The sequence below is a fragment of the Homo sapiens genome, chromosome 12 (assembly GCF_000001405.40).
Source record: "Homo sapiens chromosome 12, GRCh38.p14 Primary Assembly".
In the NCBI taxonomy this organism is placed as follows: Eukaryota; Metazoa; Chordata; class Mammalia; order Primates; family Hominidae; genus Homo; species Homo sapiens.
Window position 1 is genome coordinate 26,784,059 of NC_000012.12, and position 24,611 is coordinate 26,808,669.

Sequence of the window (24,611 nt, forward strand, 5' to 3'; positions counted from 1 at the left end):
GTGAAATATGACTGAAGTCTGGAATGCAGTCAGTAGTAATGTACAAATGGTAAATTCTTAGTTTAAACTAATGTCCCCAGTGAGATGCAAATAACAGGGGAAACAGAGTGGAAGAGAATTCTATGTACGTTTTCACAACTCTTCAGTACAGCTACATTTATTCCAATGTTTACAGTTTCTCTTTTAAAAATGGAGAATCTCCCTCTCCCTCTCCCTCTCCCTCTCCCTCTCCCTCTCCCTCTCCCTCTCCCTCTCCCTCTGCCTCTCCCTCTCCCTCTCCCTCTCCCTCTCCCTCTCCCTCTCCCTCCACGGTCTCCTTCCACGGTCTCCCTCTGATGCCGAGCCAAGGCTGGACGGTGCTGCTGCCATCTCGGCTCGCTGCAGCCTCCCTGCCTGATTCTCCTGCCTCAGCCTGCCGGGTGCCTGCGCACGCCGCCACGCCTGACTGGTTTTCGGTTTTTTTTTGGTGGAGACGGGGTTTTGCTGTGTTGGCCGGGCTGGTCTCCAGCTCCTAACCGCGAGTGATCCGCCAGCCTCGGCCTCCCGAGGTGCCGGGATTGCAGACGGAGTCTTGTTCACTCGGTGCTCAATGGTGCCCAGGCTGGAGTGCAGTGGCGTGATCTCGGCTCGCTACAGCCTCCACCTCCCAACCGCCTGCCTTGGCCCCCCAAAGTGCCGAGATTGCAGCCTCTGCCCAGCCACCACCCCGTCTGGGAAGTGGGGAGCGTCTCTGCCTGGCCCCCCATCGTCTGGGATACGGGGAGCCTCTCTGCCTGGCTGCCCAGTCTGGAAGGTGAGGAGCGTCTCTGCCCGGCCGCCATCCCATCTAGGAAGCGAGGAGCACCTCTTCCCCGCCGCCATCCCATCTAGGAAGTGAGGAGCGTCTCTGCCCCGCCGCCCTGTCTGGGATGTGAGGAGCGCCTCTGCTGGGCCGCAACCCTGTCTGGGAGGTGAGGAGCGTCTCTGCCCGGCCGCCCCGTCTGAGAAGTGAGGAAACCCTCTGCCTGGCAACCGCCCCGTCTGAGAAGTGAGGAGCCCCTCCGTCCGGCAGCCACCCCGTCTGGGAAGTGAGGAGCGTCTCCGCCCGGCAGCCACCCCGTCCGGGAGGGAGGTGGGGGGGGGTCAGCCCCCCGCCCGGCCAGCCGCCCCGTCCGGGAGGTGAGGGGCTCCTCTGCCCGGCCGCCCCTACTGGGAAGTGAGGAGCCCCTCTGCCCGGCCAGCCGCCCCGTCCGAGAGGGAGGTGGTGGGGGTCAGCCCCCCGCCCGGCCAGCCGCCCCGTCCGGGAGGTGAGGGGCGCCTCTGCCCGGCCGCCCCTACTGGGAAGTGAGGAGCCCCTCTGCCCGGCCAGCCGCCCCGTCCAGGAGGGAGGTGGGGGGGTCAGCCCCCTGCCCGGCCGGCCGCCCCGTCCGGGAGGTGAGGGGCGCCTCTGCCCGGCCGCCCCTACTGGGAAGTGAGGACCCCTCTGCCCGGCCAGCCGCCCCGTCCAGGAGGGAGGTGGGGGGGGTCAGCCCCCCGCCCGGCCAGCCGCCCCGTCCGGGAGGGAGGTGGGGGGGTCAGCCCCCTGCCCAGCCAGCCGCCCCGTCCGGGAGGGAGGTGGGGGGGTCAGCCCCCCGCCCGGCCAGCCGCCCCGTCCGGGAGGGAGGTGGGGGGATCAGTCCCCCGCCTGGCCAGCCGCCCCGTCCGGGAGGTGAGGGGCGCCTCTGCCCGGCCGCCCCTACTGGGAAGTGAGGACCCCTCTGCCCGGCCAGCCGCCCCGTCCGGGAGGGAGGTGGGGGGGTCAGCCCCCCGCCCGGCCAGCCGCCCTATCCAGGAGGTGAGGGGCGCCTCTGCCCGGCCGCCCCTACTGGGAAGTGAGGAGCCCCTCTGCCCGGCCAGGACCCCGTCTGGGAGGTGTGCCCAGCGGCTCATTGGGGATGGGCCATGATGACAATGGCGGTTTTGTGGAATAGAAAGGCGGGAAGGGTGGGGAAAAAATTGAGAAATCGGATGGTTGCCGGGTCTGTGTGGATAGAAGTAGACATGGGAGACTTTTCATTTTGTTCTGTACTAAGAAAAATTCTTCTGCCTTGGGATCCTGTTGATCTGTGACCTTATCCCCAACCCTGTGCTCTCTGAAACATGTGCTGTGTCCACTCAGGGTTAAATGGATTAAGTGCGGTGCAAGATGTGCTTTGTTAAACAGATGCTTGAAGGCAGCGTGCTCCTTAAGAGTCATCACCACTCCCTAATCTTAAGTACCCAGGGACACAAACACTGCGGAAGGCCGCAGGGTCCTCTGCCTAGGAAAACCAGAGACCTTTGTTCACTTGTTTATCTGCTGACCTTCCCTCCACTATTGTCCTATGACCCTGCCAAATCCCCCTCTGCGAGAAACACCCAAGAATGATCAATAAAAAAAAAAAAAAAAAAAAATGGAGAATATTTGATCATTAAAGAAATTTTATTCGCATAAGAAAAAGCTACTATGTTTCTGTTAATATCAATCTATTGTATGGTTTCTATCGAAAAATGGCTGTCCATCAGGTTTGAAATAACCCTTTGGAAATTGTTTATTTGGTAAAACTTAGTTTCCTCTGTTCACAAGTGAGGTAATGAGACACAGTCAAAAGAACATTTCACTGTGGAACTTGGTTGCCACAGTCAAAAACATTGGAGGAGTTGTACTAGATTTACTTTTAATTGCCTACCCGCTCTAAAATGTTATGATTCACTTGAACAAATCATACCATGAGTATGAAAAACAAAAATCTTTTAAAATTAATTTGAGAATATCATTTGTCTGGCTGAGGCAAGAGGAACTGAGGTGCAGCTGAACTGTTGATATGCTATTGTTTCTTCACCTTATCTAAAAAGTAACAATAAGGGAGGGTGCTCTGGAAACTTGGCAGGGCAGTCTGGAAATGCTGGGATGGTGATTCTGGGAGGCAAATCTACGAAACAGCAATGGCTTTTAAAGCCAAAAAAAAATGGGGGAAATATATTCATGCAGAGAATGGCCTAAGGCAAGAGCCGTAAAGACAAGCTATGCAAAAGGATGAGGCACTTGGTCAGGCACTGTCTGCTCCTGGCTGTTAAGAAGGCCAGGGCAGAGGCAAGCCCAGCTCAGGGAATTCTCTGGGACTCCAGCTGCATAAACAATGCATCATGGGAGAAAGGCTGGAGCTTTAAGATAAGACAGAACCCTGAGTTCCCAATAGGAAAGAACCCTCCTTTTCCAGTGATGATTGTAGTAAGATAAATGATTTAATCTAAAACTGGAGGTAGAAAATGAGAGTAAACCAGCAAGGATAATGACCTCAATGACTGGATTACAGGAAAAGCCAGCCTTTCACCAGAAGGATGGAGTGTCTGAAAAAGTGATTCATGCTCTGAACCAGTGCCCAGTGAATAATATGAGACCAAGTATCAGCATATAATTACCTAGTGGGTACAGAGCTGTTACCCCAGGTTCCCTTAGATACTCTAAAATAATCTTTGCAAATTTAAAACAATTTACTTCACTGTGGATTGAAAGAGGGAAAGAGGAAAGGCACCCATGAAGCGTAAATGTTTATCTTTGAAAGATTAATTCTTCCTGACCAACAGAGGAGTAAGGCTGCCCAGGCTCATGCCTGTGAAACGTGGGCACCCCTGGAAACCAAGTTTTATCACATGATCCCAGAAAAAGTTTGAGTGTCTCATCCAAAAGCACCTAATGGCTATTTTGGGGGATACAGACTATGAGACTATGGGCAGAGCACTATGCCTGGAAAACACAAAAAGAAGAAAATAAAATCCTGCTCTTGAAGAGGCAATGATGTAAGGGTTGAGTCAAATATGTTTAATAGAAATGCATTATGCCTTTCTATCATAAGGTGACTATCCTTTTTTTTTTTTTTTTTTTGAGATGAAGTTTCGCTTTTGTTGCCCAGGTTGGAGTGCAATGGCGCGATCTCGGCTCACTGCAACCTCTGCCTCCCATTCAGGTGATTCTCCTGCCTCAGCCTCCTGAGTGGCTGGGATTACAGGCATGAGCCACCATGCCCGGCTAATTTTGCATTTTTAGTAGAGACAGGGTTTCTCCATGTTGGTCAGACTGGTCTCGAACTCCCGACCTCAGGTGATCCACCCGCCTTGGCCTCCCAAAGTGCTGGGATTACAGGTGTGAGCCACCATGCCCGGCCCATTTGTTTAATGACTTAAAATGCTTTTACATTTATTCTCTGGAAATATTTCAGGGCTCACAAAACCTCGTGTGGTAGTCATTGTTCTTGTTATTAGCCACTTCTACTCCCATTAGCCAATGACAGATGTCCTCTGAGGCTCGAAGCAGGTAGGTGACCTACTTAAGATGACACAGGCAGCAAGCAGTACAGTCAAAACCTGAACCTCATGCTTTTTCCTGCTACAAATACAGATTTGTTGTCCCAGTCTGCTTTTAGAATTTTTCTCTTTGTCTTTAATACCCTATAGTTCACCAAAGAGTGTCTAGTGGTGGATGTGGTTGTTATTTACCATCACTACTCTGAACTCAGTGTGCCTCTTCCACCTGGGGAAGAGTGTTTTTCCTCAGTTTAGCAAGTTCTCACCCACATTCCTCCACATATGGCCTCTATTCCAGTCTCCCTAGCCTTTCCTTCTAGAATTCAGTTAGACACTGCGGGACCTTCTCAGCCTGTCCTCCAAGCTTTTCATGACTCATCCAAATTCTTCTTCTTTGTATCTCTCTGTGCTATATTCTGGGTGGTTTCCTCAGATCTCTCCTCCAGAGCCCTAATTCTCTCCTCATCTTTACACAATGTGCTAGCTCATTCTTTTCAGAATCTACCTTTATTCACACTATCTGTCCTTCCATTAGGGTTTCTCTACCCTCTTATCTTTTGGGTCATTTCACACACACTTCCTGCATTGTCTCTGGCAGGTTGTTCCTGAATACTAGTAGCCTACGTGTCCCCTCAAGGTAGCTTCATTCTAAGTCCATCCTCAGTGGAAACTATTTACTGCAAGAAGACCTCACTTGCCCAGGGTTAGGAGAGTATCCCTACTGAGTGATTTTGCATGTGTTTCCAATGGGTAGTTTGTCTTCCACATTCTGCGCAAATTTCTCTACTTGGGGAGAAATCTGGATCTCTTATAAAGTGACCAATTTAACTCAAAGGACATTTTTTTGTGCATGTCAGTTTCTCTGCAAGGATCTCAGTCTAGAGAAAATGAAATAAATAAAACATTCCCATAAGAGATATTGTAAATAAAATGCCTATCCCAGAGAGTAAAACATGGTAAATATTAACCCAATGCTAACTGTCTCCCTTTTCCATTGCAGTAAGCAGCAATCTTCACTTGGGCTGGTGCTCTGAGAATCCCTCCGTCTCTCTCCAGCTTTTAATCCTTTATTAAGGCCGTTTTTCACCATTATGAGAATGAATGGTTATACATTGTTCAAAATAAATGCCATTTTAAAATTATTTTTATTATTATAATTATGTACCAATTATGAAATTGATTTGGGCAAGCTTTTAATGACTAGTTTTAGCTTTCTGTGATTCTCTATAGATTCCATTAATCCTTCTTTTGTAAGAGTTGAGTTATAATCAATCTCTTACTAGGATCAATTTCTCATTTGAGGAAATTATCAAGCTATTTCAAAAATTATACTTAGGAGTTCTAAGACAATTGTCAGTTATTACACACCATAAAATTGCTATTTTAAAAAGTAAGCTAACACATCATTGCCACACTCCTGGAGAGTTTACAAAGATAAATTAAAAATCTAACAATGCAACACTATAACATTTATAACTGTCAGAGAAGTATATAAATAAATACTGTTCAGCTGCATTTACTGGCTTGACAAGTAGCCTTTCACAGTTAATTACCAAGATTTCCTTTTAACAGATAGACCATTGTCTGGCAAAACAAAAATCAAAACTATTCTTTCATTGTAAATCCCTCAATATGTAAAAGAAAAACAATGGAAAAATTGTTGAAAGAATTTTCAGTGAACATATTTATATCTGAAAGTTTCACATTGAATAAAGTTTTAACATTACTTACTTTGAGACATAAAAATAATCCTCCCTCTTAGCTCACACAATTAAAAAAATATATGTATTTCTTACCTCTGAACTTCTTGGGAGGGTTGGCAAGGTCCCCGGCCTCTGGGTGCACCACACATCTGTCATCCACTAACCTAGAAGGAAAAGCATGTTTACATTGTTAACATCCTTGTCATATTCATAAACCACAGACTGCACATGGATATTGCATAAATATTTACCAAAAGTTTTAATACCTTTCTTCACTAAGTAACTTTTTAACAATCATGGGTCTGTAAAAAGATTTGGTTGTAGAGATGTTAATTAAAGCCTGGTTTATGAAATTGAAACATTGGAAACATTGTTAAGAGGTAGGAAACTAGTTAGATAACTCATGACATGGAACACTGCGGAGCTGTTTAAAACTACATTAAACAAAATGCACTGGCCTGCAAAATGTTTACAGTATGTAGTGAATGTAGTGGTAACCAATCAATAAGATACATATATGCTTACACACACACACACACACACACACACACACACTTCTACACATACATATATAAGGAATGGAACACAGCAAAACATTAAGAGTGGTCAGATTACCCATAGTTTTTATTTTCCTGTCTTTTATTTTTCCCGGTGTGTATGTATGTTTTACAGGGAATGTGTAAGCTTATGAGATCAGGCTTCTGGAGTGCCCATAGAGTAGGTGGTTATGCCTTCCTGGCCTGCATTCAATCTCTGGCTTGGCCACTTCCTAGCTAGGTGACTTCAGGCCTCCTTCTTTATACCTAAACAATAAGGATAAAAATATCTACCTCACAGTATTGTTAGAAAGATTAAATGACTTAGTATTTTTAAAGTACCTAGTACAACTTCTGGCAGTTTCCATTTAATGGACAAATAAAATCAAGAATCTTGTGTCTTCACATATTCTCTGCTTCTAGAAGAGTGCCTGACACACTACAAGTGCTCAACAAATATAAGTAAAATGAATAAACTGCCTTTGTAGCTACAACAACATGTTTAATCTCTATTAAAATATTTATGAGAAGACAATTTGTAGGACAATTTCAAGACAGAGAAGCTGAATCTCTGAACCGAGAGCCAGGAGACATGAATCCCCTGTTCAAAGAGAAAGATCTCTTAATACCAGACTCACTAACATTCATTTCTCCATTGGTTACGTGGTGTGAATACCCAGGTTTTTTTCCAGAATATTGTGAGAATGCATGTTAATTAATTACATGTATATGAATTCATTTAAAGGGAGATGCCCAAATTGCAACCTTGTGGTTTAAAAAAAAAAAAGAAGAAGAGGAAGTATTAACCAGACTCACTAGCATGCATCAACTCCAGCACAGGAGTTGAACTAGGATGACTGACTTAATCAAAATGAAACTTTTGGTTCCTAGTTTATCTAGTTACTGGAAGCAGACACTTCCTAAATCAACAGATTTTTCTGTGGAATCCAATTTCCACAAAACAAAATGCTGATTTGGTCAAGAAATACAGTTCCTTGATTTTTTTAATATACCCTTCATTCACACTGGTTTACTAAAATGTGGTTTTACAAGAGCTGCCAGGCATGCAAGAAATTCCTTTTAAGAGTCTCTAGAAACTGATTTATTAGAAACAGGAAGTCACATTGGGTCAAGAGAAAGCAAACCCAAACTTCCACAATGTCCAACTTCAGCCTGTAACATTGAATCTGAAAGGCTCCAATAGTTGTGATAATATTACAACGTAAGATGTAAATAAAAGTGCTGTGAGGGAAAGGTCAGCTTTTCTAATTGGTTAAGACATGTTAAGAATTCAAATACAATGGTCAAAAAATCATAGTCTTATTTACAGCACATAAAAATTACATAATGTAAAAATTACAAATGACACTGACATTCTATTCATTCCTTGTACCTGTGCATTCCCACAAAAATACAGACTTTTATGAATGTCACTGAGTCCCCGCCTGTGTGGACCAGCCATCAAGAGGAATGAGAACTGAAGCTATAAATCAGATGACAGTGTATTTATGTGAACACTAATATCTATCCTCAATTATCTGATAGCCCAGATAAAAACATAATAATTAAGAGTGACTTCAGTTCTAAAAATTTGTCCTATTCCTTACACAAAAACATCTGTGAAAATCACTAAGGCAGTCATTTCATCCTGAAGACTTAAAGAATTGGAACTGAATTTGAAGATAATGGAAGGAAGGAAACGACAAGAAGAAGCAAGGAGTCTGAATCTGTTACAAGACATATATGATCACTGGCATTAAAAGTCAAACAGGATTTTAATGGTAATTGGAATCCTGTTTGACTTTTAATGCCAAAATCCTGGAACAACTTCTACAATATCCCCAACAACCTCTTCTTGAATACTTCCAAGGCCAACTCATCTACCATTTACCATCATTCTGACAGCCCTAATATTAGAAATGTGTTTTATATGGAGGTAAAATAGTACTTACTACATTTTCTTCTATCTACTTGCCTAATTGTCTTGAGTCTTCCAATAAATTTTAAGCTCCATGAAGTCAGAGATTGAATCCATCTTGTTTACCATTATATCCTTGGCATCTACTAGAATGAGGTGCAATAGATACTAAATAAATATTTGTTAAATAAATAAATGAGTCAGTGAATAAATGATGTTGGCTTCCCAATTAACTCTCCCTCTTTGTTCCCAGTTCTTTCTTCTGGGACTATATAGACTAAGTTTTCTTTTTCTGAGATGGGCAAGCTGATTTCTCTCCAGTGCTTCTCCATGTGGATATTTACCAGGAGTTCAACATCCTTCATACACCCCAAGTGCCAGCATCCTCTCACCTGTGATCCTAGAGACTATCCACATGAGTCTAGATGTGCCCCAACGAGGGCAGAGTACAGAGGACTATTACCTCCTTCTTTCTGATACTAAACTTACAGAAATGCAACCTACAATTTTAGTAGCTCCTGTGGCAGTTAAGGTTCCCCTCTGACTTTCATTGGGTTTATAGTAAACAATAATTCCAGATCCTTTTCATGTGTACCACTGATAAGCCAGGTTCTCCCACCCACCAGTAGGGCAGTTAACTTTTATAAGCTAAGGACCAGAATTTACAACCAAATAGGGATAAATACAAAGATTGACCTTTGGTCTATGAGAAGAAAATCATCTGAAAAACATTGATCTATTCCATCCCTAGTTAACTCATTTAGACCATGTCATAATTTTGCCCATTTTAACCACTCATGATCAGTGTTCCCCAAATTTGGCTGAATCATTTGGGGAGTTAAAAATAATAAGGATAACCAAAAAAAAACCTTCCTTTGTCCAGACCTATTAGAATAAAACTTTCTGGGGACGAGGACTGTGTGTTTTAAAAAGCTTTCTAACCCTCTTTAAATTGAGTAGGAGGATCTGCTCTGCACTCCCACAATACTCTAGGCTATCCTCTACCAATAGACTGTATCACAGCCCAGTATAATTTTATAATTTCATGTATATATATATGCAACATCATTATAAGCTCCAAGAGAGTCAGTCCATTTCTGTCTTACTCACCATTATAGGGCCATCTTTAAGCATTATGCTTAAAATATAGATGGTGCTAAATAATTAATTGATGAATGATTAAAGTGACATTTAAAATCAGTGATGCTATTTTTGGTAGTTAACATAAACAATAAAATAACTAGAAGCAATAAACAGTCAACTAATAGGAGACGAAAGAGAGATTTGGAAATATTCCCTATGTAGGTATGTCCCAGAAAATTATCAAAAATATCATATCCTGAAAAAGGCCAAGAGAGCCTGCCCTAAAAAACAATATCTCAGGTAGCACCTTTCAATCCAATCCATCAGTGCACATCTTAATGGGCTACATTTATTTTTCTTAGAACTAACTAGTGAGTAAGCCAAACAGGCAATTATAGCAATAGCCTAAAATTCTCAATTTTTTTACTAAAACTCATCTAACATAAAACCTGTTGTTTTTCCTACCTATCTTCTCTTCATAAGGTCATAACTGTAAATTATTTGTTCAAATTTACTTACAAGAAAAAAATCACTCAACAATTAGATCTTCGAAAGTATAAGGAAAATTTAATAGCTACTTTGATTTTATACATAAGTATGAATTTTGTAAATGTGAATGGAATTTTAACTGGACATAACAAGAGTCTTAAAAATTCTGTGAGAAGTGTAATATCTACATGAAAAAGTTACGTTTATGCATTAAATTCAAGTCCACTGATACTTTGTCAAAAATAAAGTATACTATTAATTATTTTCACAAATGCCAACAGTCAAGAGAAAATGCATCGTTTTCTTATCTATTTTCTACGTTTTTATTGTTTAAGACACTTTATTGCTGTCCATGTCCAGAAATATAAATGAAATCCATCCATCCAACCTGGCTTCAATCTATAGAAATTAACTGAAATCCATCCTTTGAACACATCTTCAAGTTTCATTTCTTCACTGAAGCTATATTCCCCGTGATGAGATATTCTTCTGTGAATTCCCAGAGCAATTTTAAGTATCTTCTAGTTTACAAGATATAAGTATGACATACACATTAGTCTTATCTTCCCAACCAAATGACAACTATAATCTATCAATCACTGATTGCATGCCACATACTGCTCTATATGTTTATAAACATAATTACTAATTTCCAAACAATTTTGCAAAATATTTTTCTCTTGCAGATTAGAGAGATCAAATGATATGGTGGAGATGACAGCTCAAGAGCAAAGCCAAGATTTGGACCCAGATCTACAAGACCAAAGACTTGGCTCCCTCCTTCTGTTCTACCAGGCTGAACTTGTATTCTCTTACATATCCACATACTCTGCTTTCCAAGTATACATGCATGGTAAAATAATGGAGATGTAGTAGACACTCCAATATTTTTTACTGAAATGCTAACTGACTTTTGTCGATGTCTATTCCAGCTTTAGCATCTCATAATTCTATAATTCCATTTTTATAGTATCTAAAATTAGAAAGCACAATTGTATACTGAAGTATTTTATAAACATCATTAATTTGCATAATGCCTTCCTGATTTGTGCCATATCTAGAAACTCAACACCAAAACACATTAAGGTAAGGAAAGGATGAACTATTAAATGATGTTAGGATAATTAGTTGTCTATTTGGGGAAAAATGACATAATCCCTTCTTCACATAAGAAGTTAATACCACATGAATTAAAGCCTCAAATGTGATAAGTAAAACTATAAAACGTGTAGAATACATGGATGATGATATTTATGAATCGGAGAGTAGAAAAAATTATTTAAGCCAGACTAAACAAAAAGGACAAAACATAAAAGACCGATAAGTTTGTCTACATTAAAAGTAAGACTTCCATCCACCTAAGGACAATATAGACAATATAAAGGACAAAACGTAAAAGACCGATAAGTTTGTCTACATTAAAAGTAAGACTTCCATCCACCTAAGGACAATATAGACAATATAAAGGACAAAACGTAAAAGACCGATAAGTTTGTCTACATTAAAAGTAAGACTTCCATCCACCCAAGGACAATATAAAGAGACAGAAGAGTCACAAGGCCACTGCTATGCTTGTGCATTTGTAGAAGCATATTATAAAAAGGGTGGTAGCATCCAGGCATGGTGGTTCAGGCCTGCAATCCCAGCACTTTGGGAGGCTGAGGTGGGCAGATCATCCGAGGTCAGGAGTTCAAGACCAGCATGGTCAATATAGCAAAACCCTATCGCTACAAAAAAATACAAAAATTAGCAGGGCGTGGTGGCACGACCTGTAATCCCAGCTACTCTGGAGACTGAGGCGGGAGAATCGCTTAAACCCAGGAGGCAGAGGTTGCAGTGAGCCCAGATCACGCCACTGCACCCCAGCTTGCGCAACAGAGCGAGACTCTGTTTCCAAAAACAAAAAAAAAGGGGGGGGGGGCAACACACAAAATCAGTTCTGAAATGTGGTCTATGTTCCACTGTTGAAGCCATATACAGTGGCACAAGCTGCACCTGCCCAGAAATAATGGTATGTTTGCACAAGAGAACAGCCTGTGCAGCCAACAGAGGCCTTTTTTCTCATTCATACAAAGAAGCCATAAATACTAATGGCATCCCTTAACACACAAGTTACAAACTAGAATATATTTGCTACAAAGGCTTAGTATCAGAAATTTATAAGGAATGTCTATGAATCAATAAGAAAAAGACAACCAAACAGAAAAATGCAAAATAACCCAGGAATAAGCCTGAGGAACCACTAATATCTTTTAGAAGTCCGATAAAATGTTCAACTTCATTTGTAATCAGAAAAAAATTTAAGTCAAATGAAAATCTTACTACATATCCAACAAATTGGTAAAAAGTAAGGTAAGAAAAAAATTGAAATGTTAGTAAGGTTTTGAATGAATGCAAATTTTCATTCACTGCTATAGAGAGTAGAAATTAGAACAAGCAATTTGGAAAAAATGTGACATTTAAAAGTTGAACACGGGCATGCCCTTCCATTCACCATTTCTATTTCTAGACACATATATGCTCTACAGAAATCTTACAAACTTGCATCTGAAGACATGTACGAACAAGAGTGTTCACGGCAAAACTGTTTATGATAGCAACAACTGAAAAAAAACAAAATTTTCATTAACAGTAACATGGATAAAGAAGTTATGACTAGGCCAGGCGTGGCAGCTCACACCTGTAATCCCAGCACTTTGGGAGGCTGAGGCGGGTGGATTGCCTGAGGTCAGGAGTTCGAGACCAGTCTGGCCAACATGGTGAAACCACCCCCGTCTCTACTAAAAATACAAAAACAATCAGCTGGGCATGGTGGTACGCACCTGTAATCCCAGCTACTCGGGAGGCTGAGGCAGGGGAATTGCTTGAACCAAGGAGGTGGAGGTTGCAGTGAGCTGATATCACGCCACTGCCCTCTAGTCCGGGCGACAGAATGAGACTCTGTCTCAAAAAAAAATCAAAAGGTATGACTAAATGAATAATTTCATACAGTAGAAAACTACCAAAAAAATGAATAAATTGTACTGCATGCAACAACACTAAAAATCTCAAAAACATAAAGTTGAGCTTTAAAAAAAGCGAATCCAAAAACAACAAATGTTATATAATTCCATTATATAGATGCATATATAGGCTACACTAAACAGCATATATTTTAGGAATACACATGGGGTATAAAAAATTAATGTATAAAATATGTGGCTATCAGATTTTTAAATAGATTTCTAAAAGAAAGCAAATAATTCCTTTGTCTCCAGTCCCTCATTATTCCAACAACTACAAAGAAAATGCCACATAACTGATAAAATATTAGTTGTATCTTTTCTCTGATGAAGCCATAAATGCTATTTCCATCTGGAATATATTATAAAATCAGCATATTATTTTCCTGATGTTTGTTTACCACATATATCTGATTCATTTACCACTAAGTGATATAGTTCATTTCTAACAAAATGGCTCTGAAATGCATTTAAATAAAATGAATTTGGGGAAAGAGAGAAGGTGGGGCATCCACAATTGACATTACTAAAAGCTTTTACTAGAGAGGGGGTTAAGATGGTGGATAGATTCATAAGCATCATGGAATTGTCTTTTTTTTTTTTTTTTTTTTTTTTTTGAGATGGAGTTTTGTTCTTGTTGCCCAGGCTGGAGTGCAATGGTGCAATCTTGGCTCACTGCAACCCCTGCCTCCCAGATTCACATGACTCTCCTGTCTCAGCCTCCCGAGTAGCTGGGATTACAGGTGCACACTACCACACCCGGCTAATTTTTGTATTTTTAGTAGAGATGGGGTTTCATCTCGTTGGTCAGGCTGGTCTCAAACTCCTGACCTCTGGTGATCCGCCCACCTCGGCCTCCCAAAGTGCTGGGATTACAGGTGTGAGCCACTGCGCCCAGCAGAATTGTCTTTAAAAGAACTTTCAGAACTTTATCACAAATAACTTGATCCCCCAACGCTGGGATTTTCACTCTGCTTGACTACATGAATTTCTCCCTCAGCTGCAATCTTCTGGCTTCTCACCTAAACTGTCCCTCCACCCCATCAATCTATCACAGGCCCCCACAACCCTGGCACGTCATTCAACTCCCTCTTTCACCTGCACTTAGAAGCAGCAGTAGAAGAGAAGAAAAAAACCTGACTTCTCATCCTTGACCAGCTGTGTTTATGCTAGTTACTGAACTTCACTGTGCCGCATTTTTGAAATGGGGCAGCTGTGTTCCCACACGTTCCTCGTATTTCTGTGGTTTCTTGTTTCTCTGCTCCTGTTTTGTGACTAGAGTTGGCTTGTCATCCTTCACTAGCGCCCTCTGACATGTATCATAATTTATACACTGTAGTTTGAAAGTTTAAGTGTTTAGCATCTATTTTTTTGAAGCTTACAAATTATTTTATCATTACAAGCTAAATACCAGCACTAAGTGGTTTTGTTCCATTCATTCACCGTAGTCTTAGAACACATTATTTTTAAAATGTAATATCTTGCTATTTAGTAATATGCACATTTTTTAACTTAGCCAACACTCAAGTTGCCCAAATAAGAAGTAGATCCCAAGGATGTTAATTCATGTTTGTATGGTAATTAATTTTTCTCATAATCCAGAATAACTTAAACAGAAATAGAAGTTTCTACAAATGTCCAGTTTTCCACCTTATATCTGACAGGTCCTATGGCCACTCCTGTACAAGGCCATAAATAATTCAAATCATTCAAAGAAGGAAGTAATTTCATTGCAAAACTTTCTGCCAAAATGTTTTCTAACTTATAAATGCAAAACAGATGCAACATGCCACATTCATTCATGGCTACACTCATATTTTGCCTGTCTATGATGACAAGAGGAGTTAAGTGCACCTTTGTTTGCCATTTGAAATGTGTGGTTTTATTGATTTTTAAATTTAAACAAATAAATTTAGCATTATCTCCTATTTTTAGACATGTCTAATTTCAATAATGTTGACAAACATATATTTTGGTTTAAATATTAAAAGTATGTTTAATTCCATATATAAGTTTTCAATCAAGCATAGGTTTGTTGCTGCCAATATTTCTAAAACTGGTTTCACTCAGAGTTAGAATTGTGCTTGCTCTTAGGTATTCAAAATATTCCCACTTATTTTTCCATGAAAGACATAATTAACCTATACCCACACATAAATTACAGTATAAACACTAAACTTTGAAGTACTACTAAAAATACTGGATGAATCCATACATTTAAAATGTTTTGATGAATGCTATCACCCTGACCAAATGATTTAATTTAACTATTAACTACCTTTTTAAAATATGGGTATCACATGACTACAAGGAGAATGCTATTTCCAACATATTAATCTTTTCATAAAGCACTGCAAGAAGCCATCATCTTGTGAAGCGATTATCTTCAGAGTATCAGTACTGGTGAAACTAAGGGGAAAAACAACTAAAAGAGTTACACATAGCCTTTCAAAGAGAAACACATCTATCTGACAATGATTTCAGAGAGGATTTGCCCGTATATTTTGAAAGCTTACAGTCCTAATCCAGCCAAAGAAAAATCATCGTGACTTTTTCTTCTGGGCTTCTCTTTCTCCATCTAAAATAACTTCCTTTTCTTGATCCTCTTGACCCTGCCTCCTCAACCTCTTTGAACCCAGTGTTATTGCAAGTCAGTTTGTGAAGCATTTTGTCTGAGCTTGTCCATTACAGTTCTCATGAAAGTCAAAGCATCTGCAAAGTACTTTTCTCAGAATATAAACAGGCATCTCTACCAGTTGAGATCAATTATTTAGTGGTGGCTGAGCTGACCTTAACTACTACCAGTTCTCAATCACCTGCAAAGAGCCAGAAAATCATTGGTGCTAGAAAAAGTGACTCACTAGACAAGTTCAGGTCCAGATCTTTACCACCATCACACTGTCATTCCTATCTGAGTTTTCACCACCTGGTTGACACCAATTTGCAGGTGCTCTCAGGAAAAAAGGCCATACAAATCAGAAACCCACCTAGTCTCACTCTCTTCTTCCAAGTACAGACACCTCCCCCACCCCAGGTTTCTGTCTGCTTTTGGTCACTCTCCAGTGGCTACACATAGCTGTTTTTTATATTTTGTCCAGAATTTACAGTTGTGATCAAGAAAAAACTTTCCATTCAAAAAAAAAAGACCAAAAAAAGTTTTATACTTGATATACTACAGATTAAATTCAAAGAAATATGAACTCAAATATTTTAAAAATTACTAATAACACAAGGAAACAAGTTACTATGCATGAGTCACCAAAAACAACAACAAATATTGTAATTATCAACTAAAAAATATAAAATAACTATTATGAAATGTTTAAAGAAATGGAAGATAAATTTTATAAACAGGGCAAGGAGGAAGAACACATCAAAAATGGTCAGATAGCTTGGCATGGTGGTACACCCCTGTAGTCCCAGCTACTTGGGAGGCTGAGGCAGGGGGATTTCTTGAGCCCAGGAGTCTGAGTTGAGCCTGGGCAACATAGCAAGACCCTATCATTTTAAAAAATATGGCCAGATAGATTTAGTAAAGAATTCCTAGGAATGAAAAATAATTATTGAATAAGTAAGTGGACTGAAGACAGTAAATCAGACACAGCTAATTAATATCTTAGAAGAAAGGTTTTAATAATTTCTTGGAATGAAGCAGAGGACAACAAGGATAGAGAAGATACAAAAGAAGGTTAAGGTATATAAAGGGCTGGATGAGAAGGTTACCATGCATATATAGTTAGCATCCATAGCCATTGTGGCTATGGATGGGTTCGCCTTGGGTGGAGGCCTGGAGCTTGCCCTGGCCTGCGACCTCCAAGTGGCAGCTTCCTCGAAAGTCATGGAACTGATTGAGAGACCACTCGAGGGCTCCTCCCAGGGACAGGAGGTACTCAGAGGCTGCCACACTGCCTGGGGGTGGCCCTGGTGAAGGAGCTCATCTTCACAGGCTGACGACTGAGTGGGCACTGGGGTTGGTGAATCATGCTGTGGCCTAAAACGAGGAGGGTGATGTCACCTACCACTGGGCACAAGCACTGGCCCAGGAGGTCCTGCCCCAGGTCCCCATTGCCATGCAGCTGGGCAAAGTAGCCACTGACCAAGGCATGGACGTGGACATTGCATCAGGGATGGCCACTGAAGGGATATTTTATGCCCAGAACATTCCAACCTGGGACTGGCTGGAAACATGGCAGAGAGAACCAACCCCCAAAATTTGTTGGCAAATGATCCCCATTTAACCTTCAGCATGGGAGATACACACCTTGAAACAACAGGATCCAGAAGGAAAATTTGCATCAGGACTGCCCTCATCATTTCATCTCTCTGGGCTTCGGTTCCTCCATAAGGATGATGATAGATATGATATGATTGGCATTATGCCTGGAACCAAGATGCTGACCATACCACCTACTGCTACCTTCCTTGATGTCACCCTAGGGTTGGGTTTGCTTTGGAGGATGCCTGTCTCTCTCTACTCAAATGAAGAAGAATTAAAATAGATCCCTCTGGGTCTTTGTATCATTGGTTCTCAGGCCCTGACCTCTCTCTCAGTCATCAGGCGCTAACTAGAGATGTCAAGAGATTTTAAGATACCCCTAGTTTTTTCCTCTGGACAATAGAGATAATAAACTCTGGTATTGGTTGTACATGTGCCAAAAGTCAGACTGCAGATGCCAGTTCTTTGCCAGTTACTCACTGTATAACTTTGGACAAATTGTTTAAACTCTGGGCCTCAGCATTCTCATCTGCAAAATGAAACTGCTGTAAGGATTTAACAAAATAAAAATACTTCATGTTAAAAAAAAAAAAAGCTAGATTTTGTAGTTGGATTAAAAAATCCAGCCATAGGCTATTTACAAGAGTCATACCTAGAATATAAGGACAGAACAAAACAAAGCAGGAAAATACTAGCCAAAGGAAGGTATGGGCCAGGGGTAGTAGCTTATGCCTGTAATCCCAGTGCTTTGGGAAGGTGAGGTGAGAGGATCACTTGAGGCAAGGAGTTAAAGATCAGCCTTGGGCAACATTGCAAGACCCTGTCTCTACAAAAAATTTAAAAATTAGCCTGGCATATTGCATGCACCTGTGGTCCCAGCTACTCAAAGGCTGAGGAGGGAGGATCAGTTGAGCCTGGGAAGTGGAGGCTATAAGCAGCTATGATCATGTCACTGCACTCCAGCCTGGGCAACAGAACAAGACCCTGTCTCTAAAAAAAAAATAAAAATAATTTTTAAAAAAGAAAAGTATAGTAGCAGTGATAATATCAGACAAATAGGGCAGGTATGTTGGCTCATGCCTGTAATGCTAGCACTTTGCGAGGCCGAGGCAGGAGGAGCATTTGAGCTCAGGAGTTCAAGACCAGCCTGGGCCACATAGTGAGACTCTGTCTCTTTAAATTAATATACATATCCAACTATTTCCTCCTAGGAATGTTTCTCAACAAACTGCAGAGGAGATATATATATATCTATATATAGATATAGATATAGATATATCTATATATAGATATAGATATAGATATATATAGATATAGATATAGATATACAGATAGATATAGATAGATATCTATATATACATATCAGAAAAATCAAAAAAAGAGAAAAAAGCTTTATTCAGAATAAAGAGAGCCATTACATCATGAGAAGTGTTTCACTGCTTTAAGATATACAAATTCTAAATGTATATGTAACAGCCTCAAAATAAACATAATTTACAAAACTACAGGGAGAAATTAACAATACACTATCTTAGTGGGAGATTTCAACACACTGCTTAATTACTGAAAGGGCAAACTGACAAAATTTGTAAGGATATAAGTTTTGAAACCTGTAATCAACAAGCCTGATCTAATAGACATACATAAAATAGAAAATATATTCTTTTTGAGCATATATGGAATATTAACATACCAGTTTCCTCAACTGTTTTCAGATTATATGGTTTTCATATCCCCATTCTGTTTCTAAAATATAGCCTAAATTTACAGTTTTGGCTTTTAAAAAACTATTATTATCTTGGCTTACACTGAACTTATGTTTAACTAAAAACCCCACACTCACCCATCCTCCAGAGGCTTAGGGTCTCCTATGATCCCACCATATTTGACATGCTATTATTGTATTGTATTATACTTCAAGCTGTTATCTTATTGTATGATACCTCTAACTACATGTCTCCAATAAACAATGAGCTCCTTGGGGACAGTACAGTATATTTTTAATCTTTATCTCCTCAATACCCAGCACAGTGACTGGCATATAGTAAGTGCAAAAAAAAAAAATGTTAAATGAATCCATTGATATTTTAAAGGTAAAGAAAACAAACTGCAGAAGACAAAATGAGGTAAGTGATGATATAGCAGAAAGAAAGATTATAGGTAGGAAAGATGGAGCAAGTATGTAATAATGATATAGCTGTTTGTCCTTGGCTCATACCCTCAGCAAACCATAAAGTAACATTTAATTACATATTCTACAAGTGGATGGCTAGAGGAGACCTCTGAAAATAATCCAGTTAGTAAGAGCTCCTAGACAGAACAGAACATCAGTTAGCCAAAACATTTTTTTCCTTTGAAATCTTCACACTACAATGCAGTCAGTGATTCGTTCTGTAGCCTAAGGACCTGCCTCTTCCCTGTTCCTTTATGCCTCCTTCTTCAAAAAGAGATGAACATGAGAACCAACTACCACTTCCTGACTGATCAGACATAAAAGAGAAACATTCCTAGGAGGAAATAGTTGGCAAGAGAACTTCCCTGGCCAGAAAAACCTCGGGCAACTGTAGACCAATTCCCACAATCATTACAGCATGAGAAACTAGACTCATACTACCAGAAACTTGGAGGCTGTAAATCTGATCATTACACATTATATACAGGTAACAAAATATCACATGTACTCCCAAAATATGTGCAACTATTATATATAAATAAAAAATAAAGAAATAATTTTAAGTTACCTTGTGAAATTTCCAAGCAGATGACTGTTGTTTCTGAGTCAACTAGTAAATAGAATCTTTCTGAGAACTACCAGAAAAGGGAAAAGCTAAAAAACAAAACAACTTCCCATTCCCAGGTAATTCCTTCAGACAGAGCTTCCAACGTTTAACATTGGCTAAATGTGAATAAACATGGGTTTTAGAAAAAAAATACAGTTGTCATTCCAAATTCACACTTTTAATTGGTATGGATGGAATCAATGGGCATACAATCCCTCTTTTAAGACATTTCTGTGCACAAAGAAAATATTCTCAGATTTATTTAGGTTACTGGCAAGGGACTAATTGTGGCTAGAATGACAGATATACCTTCTTCTGGAGAATTTTAATTAAAGTGCAGAGACCTCTCTTTCTGGGAGGGAGTGAGTAAGTCCTTACCCGAAAATAATGAAGCAACCCACATGACCTCTGAAAGCTGAGCAAACCAAGGGTAAAATCAAAAGGAAATAAAAACAAGCAGAAAAGTCTGATGGCTGAAAAGAGCTACATCTGTATGCATTAAATTAAATCATTTCCCTCGCTTATAGGCTGGATATTTTTTCCAACCCCTGGAGGCAGAAATAGTAGTACTCTTAAAGTAGAATTTATAATTAATAATAGATAATGAATTTATCTCTAAATAAAACAGACTCTTATTTATTTTATTTTTATTTATTTATTTATTTTGAGACAAGGTCTCTCTCTGTCACCCAGGCTGGAATGCAGTGCTGCAATCCTGGCTCACTACAACCTTGACCTCCCTGTTCAAGCAATCATCCCACTTCAGCCTCCCTATCAGTTGAGACTACAGGCGTGCACCACCACACCTGGCTAATTTTTGTATTTTTAGTAGAGACGGGGTTTTGCCATGTTGCCTAGGCTGGTCTTGAACTCCTGGGCTCAAGAGATCCACCCACCTCAGCCTCCCAAAGTGCTGGGAATGCAGGCGTGAACCACCGCACCAGGCCAGAGATCCCTAATTCTAATCCCTAATCCTTCAGACAGTGATCATGACCACAAATAAAAATTCGTAAAGAGACATACTGGTTTGTAACCTAATAGGACTAAAATGGGAAAATATAAATTTAACAATATATTTTTCTATTTAAGAGTCTAATATCACAATTGTATCTTTTCCATACTAAATCTGTGATGTTGGGAAAGTCGTTTCTCTGGCCTAACTACAAAATTGAGATAATAATAGTACTAACCTCATAGGGTTTATTTTAAAATTAACTGATTTAATAAAGCAAAATGCTCAGTACAAAGTTATATGCAATAAAGGTTAGCCATCATTATCATCATTATTAATGTTATTTATTCAACACCTGACACCAAGTACATACTCAGTAATGATTGGCTATCGCCATTTTCATCATCATTATTTATTACTGCTTAATTGTTGAAAGAAGTTCACCAGTAAGATAGTCACTTCAGAAAAAAATGAATTTAAATATCTTCACAAAGAAATGTATTCATTCCACAAATATTTACTGACCAGCTACTTTGTGCCAGGCTTGATCTAAGAGCAAACAAAACTAATACTCTTCCAGGAGGGAATGGGGAGGAGACAAATCACAAGCAATAAGCATAGTAAATCCATAAATTACATAGCACGCTAAGGGATAAACACTATAGAAAAAAGGAAACATAAAACACGGCTCTACAGTGGGACCGTGTTCACTATGTTCCAAGACCTGCAAGGAAGCTAATATGGCTGGCAGGAGCCAGGAAGGAGGTAAGTGATTGGCAAGGACATCTGAACCATTAAGGAATGGAAGGCCAGACCTGCAGGGCCTCCCAAGTCATAGGAAACACTCTGGTTTCCATTCTGAGTGAGATGGGAGCATTGGGAGCACAGGTAGCTCAACGTGATCTGGTTTATTTCTAAAAAGATCCCTCTGGCTGCTGGGTTGAGAATAGATAGACTGGTGGGGAAGAGAGAGACAGAAGTGGGAAGACCACTTTGGAAACTAGCACAGCAATCCAGGTAAGAAAAGTGAGGGTCCATAAATATGTTTCTCAAAAGCTATCAATCTCCCAACTAGGGAGCACAGCAGGAAATTTCAGAGGAGATACAAACAGTTGCTCTTTTTTGAGAGCTGTTATATTGATTTTGGAGTGGAATTATATATGGCAATATAGTAATGACCATAAATATAGTGCAGTTAAGTACTTCAGAGCCCGAAAACTAGACCCTGCCTGGCACGGAGTAAACACTGAATATTCACTTACTGAGTTCAGTAAATATGAATGTACTCAACTTCTTGGTGGAAAATGTTATCCAAACATGATTTTTAATAGGAAAAAATAAGACATAGAAAAAGCCTTGAAAAAAAAACAAGAGACTGTGGTTACCCTCTACTCTTACAGTACACTGTTTGTTACACATTAATTTATATTCACTCATCCTTTTTTAAACAAGTATAACTGACCACCCACTGTGTGTCAAGTACCACATTACCTTCTAGTTGAATCCCTTCACTACGTCTTAAGGGGAAAGAGAAGAATAAATGTGTGGGAATATTCTGGGTAAGTTCACATTTCGTTACTAAACATGAAAAGAATTTCAGGATAAGGATCTGGAACTACTGAGTGGTAGTAGCTGGGACTACAGGCACTTGCCACCATGCCTGGGTAATTTTTGTCTTTTTGTAGAGACAGGGTTTCGCCACGTTTCCCACTCTGGTCTCAAGCACGTTTGCTCAAGCAATCCTCTTGCCTCGGGCTCCCAAAGTGCTGGGATTACAGGTATGAGCCACCATGCCCAGCCCATTGCAACCATCTTAATTTATCAAAATACATGTGAAAGATTTAAATGCATTTGAATCACCCTAAGGGTGTTATTCTCAAAATTTCACAAATATTATACAAAGAAAATATCCCTCTTCTCTTTAAGAAATATATATATATGCACTATTAGACCAGCCTGGCCAACACGGTGAAACCTCATCTCTACTAAAAATACAAAAATTAGCCAGGCATGGTGGTGCACACCTGTAATCTTAGCTACTCAGGAGGCTAAGGCCTGAGAATCACTTGAACCTGGGAGGTGGAGGTTGCAGTGAGCCGAGATTACACCACTGCACTCCGGCCTGGGTAACAGAGCAAGACTCTGTCTCAAAAAAAACAAAAAAGAAGATATATATATATTCATTGTTCGAAAATCCATGTTAAATGAAATATATGTCAAAAAATAATAATTGAAATTGTAGTCATTTGAAATCTTAGTCATTGATTCTATGTTCCACTGTAATAAAACAAAACACATAGGAAAGGATTTCAACAATACCCATACATTGCAAAGTATTTCCTTTCCCACCCAGAATCAACCTGCACTGATTCTACTTATGAACCCAGCCAAGCACAATGTGTTCAGTCCATGCCAATGTCCTGCTGCAGGCATCAGAGGGTAGGTGAGAAGTCAAAGCTGGAACACAATGTCATATGTGGGGAATCCAAATCACTGCCTCTGCAGTCTGAAGACAGCAGCTCTCCGTGATTTACAGCAGGTTTCACAAGATTCCTATAATGCTCTCCTAGTTGTTGTCTTTTTTGTACATATGTTGGTATTTATTCTCCTAATTATTAAAAATTCTGCAAGAAAGATAGTCTTTACTTTCAGAATGTAAGTGCATTTGGTGATACCACCCAGAAAACCAGTTGCTTGGTAAGGGACATTCAATGGACCTGCTGACATCTTAAGACCATAATATCAACCCCAAATTAAACTATTCACGAAAGGTGCCATGGATATCAGTTACAGTTTAGTCTTTTTCTTTCCCTTTTAGAGATTTCTCTTTCCCAAGTACAACTCTTAAACATGGCATGAAGAACCAAAGGAAGTCCTCCACCACCCAAGGAAAGGTATGAGACCTAACTAAGCTGGCTTCTTTCTCTCCCATTACCCCCAGACACAGTTCTTGATCCAAAGAACAAGTACTTAACCCAAGCAGGGCCAAAGTGCTTTTACAAAGGCACATATGCCACACAGGTTCTACTTCCTTCTAAAATCAAGCATCATGAGGAAAAGTGTAGGCCTAGAAACCATTCTTCACCACCATGGCTGGGAAAAAATCTGCCAGAGAACAAAGCCTACAAGAAGGAGAGAAGCCAAGAAAGAGAGGCAAAATCCTGGTGTCATCAATGGAGCCCTTGGTTCCAGTTGTACCTAAAGCCAGATCCCTCTCTTGAACTTCCCAGCAATGCAAACCATCCAGCTTCTATTTTGCTTATTTGGGTTTCTGTTCCTTTCAGTAGAAGTAAATGTAGCCATGAAGGTCACACAGCTAGTAAAGAACTAATAAAGTACAAGTAACCAAAAAAATCCATACCTGCCACATACTAAAAAATAAAATGTTCATTTTGTCATTGATTTATTCATTCAACAAATATTTATTGAGTGTTGATTATGAACCACGCACTGTTCTAGGCACTGGGGATAAAGCAGTGTACATGACAGACCAAATCTACAGCTTAAATTTTAATGTTAGAGCCATTATTGCATGTTAGCACAAGTACTCCCAAGCTTGGGTCCAAGCTTGGGTCCAAGGGATAGCCTTCAAGGAATCTTGAAGACCCTCAAATATATGTAAAATCTTGC

At 40.1% G+C, this 24,611-nt stretch overlaps 1 protein-coding gene, 2 long non-coding RNA genes and 1 pseudogene across 10 annotated transcripts in view, besides 3 other annotated features; 2 read left to right on the forward strand and 2 right to left on the reverse strand.

Annotated features, from left to right (window-relative positions):
- Positions 1-24,611, reverse strand: part of ITPR2 (inositol 1,4,5-trisphosphate receptor type 2) — a 497,843-nt gene that overhangs the window by 448,707 nt on the left and 24,525 nt on the right. For all 8 annotated transcript variants that reach the window (XR_001748686.3, XR_001748687.2, NM_001414174.1 and 5 more), the window contains one exon: positions 6,099-6,169. Coding sequence is in view for 6 of the 8 variants with exons in the window: in NM_001414174.1 (NP_001401103.1) it covers positions 6,099-6,169 (71 nt within the window). In the remaining 2 variants the exon portion in view is untranslated. The remainder of the gene's footprint in view (positions 1-6,098; positions 6,170-24,611) is intronic.
- Positions 406-1,119: an enhancer, noted in NCBI's record as "H3K27ac-H3K4me1 hESC enhancer chr12:26937397-26938110 (GRCh37/hg19 assembly coordinates)". NCBI's record gives its function as "activates a minimal SCP1, AML or CMV promoter by ChIP-STARR-seq in naive H9 embryonic stem cells {active_cell/tissue: H9 hESC(naive)}" and the evidence as "EXISTENCE:reporter gene assay evidence [ECO:0000049][PMID:30033119]".
- Positions 2,548-3,259: an enhancer, noted in NCBI's record as "NANOG-H3K27ac hESC enhancer chr12:26939539-26940250 (GRCh37/hg19 assembly coordinates)". NCBI's record gives its function as "activates a minimal SCP1, AML or CMV promoter by ChIP-STARR-seq in primed H9 embryonic stem cells {active_cell/tissue: H9 hESC(primed)}" and the evidence as "EXISTENCE:reporter gene assay evidence [ECO:0000049][PMID:30033119]".
- On the forward strand, positions 2,974-5,444 carry LOC124902903 (uncharacterized). Its single transcript, XR_007063253.1, has 2 exons — positions 2,974-3,965; positions 5,303-5,444. It is a non-coding gene; the product is annotated as an uncharacterized LOC124902903 (long non-coding RNA).
- LOC124902902 (uncharacterized) lies at positions 10,090-11,713 on the reverse strand. The gene is made up of 2 exons (XR_007063252.1): positions 11,556-11,713; positions 10,090-11,472 (listed from the first exon to the last, which is right to left on the reverse strand). It is a non-coding gene; the product is annotated as an uncharacterized LOC124902902 (long non-coding RNA).
- Positions 16,783-17,827, forward strand: LOC101929091 (enoyl-CoA hydratase domain containing 2 pseudogene; annotated as a pseudogene).
- Positions 17,894-18,063: an enhancer, noted in NCBI's record as "experimental_27003 CRE fragment used in MPRA reporter constructs". NCBI's record gives its function as "activates a minimal promoter by MPRAs in K562 erythroleukemia cells, with activity observed for both the introgressed and non-introgressed 12:26954970 variant alleles {active_cell/tissue: K562}" and the evidence as "EXISTENCE:reporter gene assay evidence [ECO:0000049][PMID:34662402]".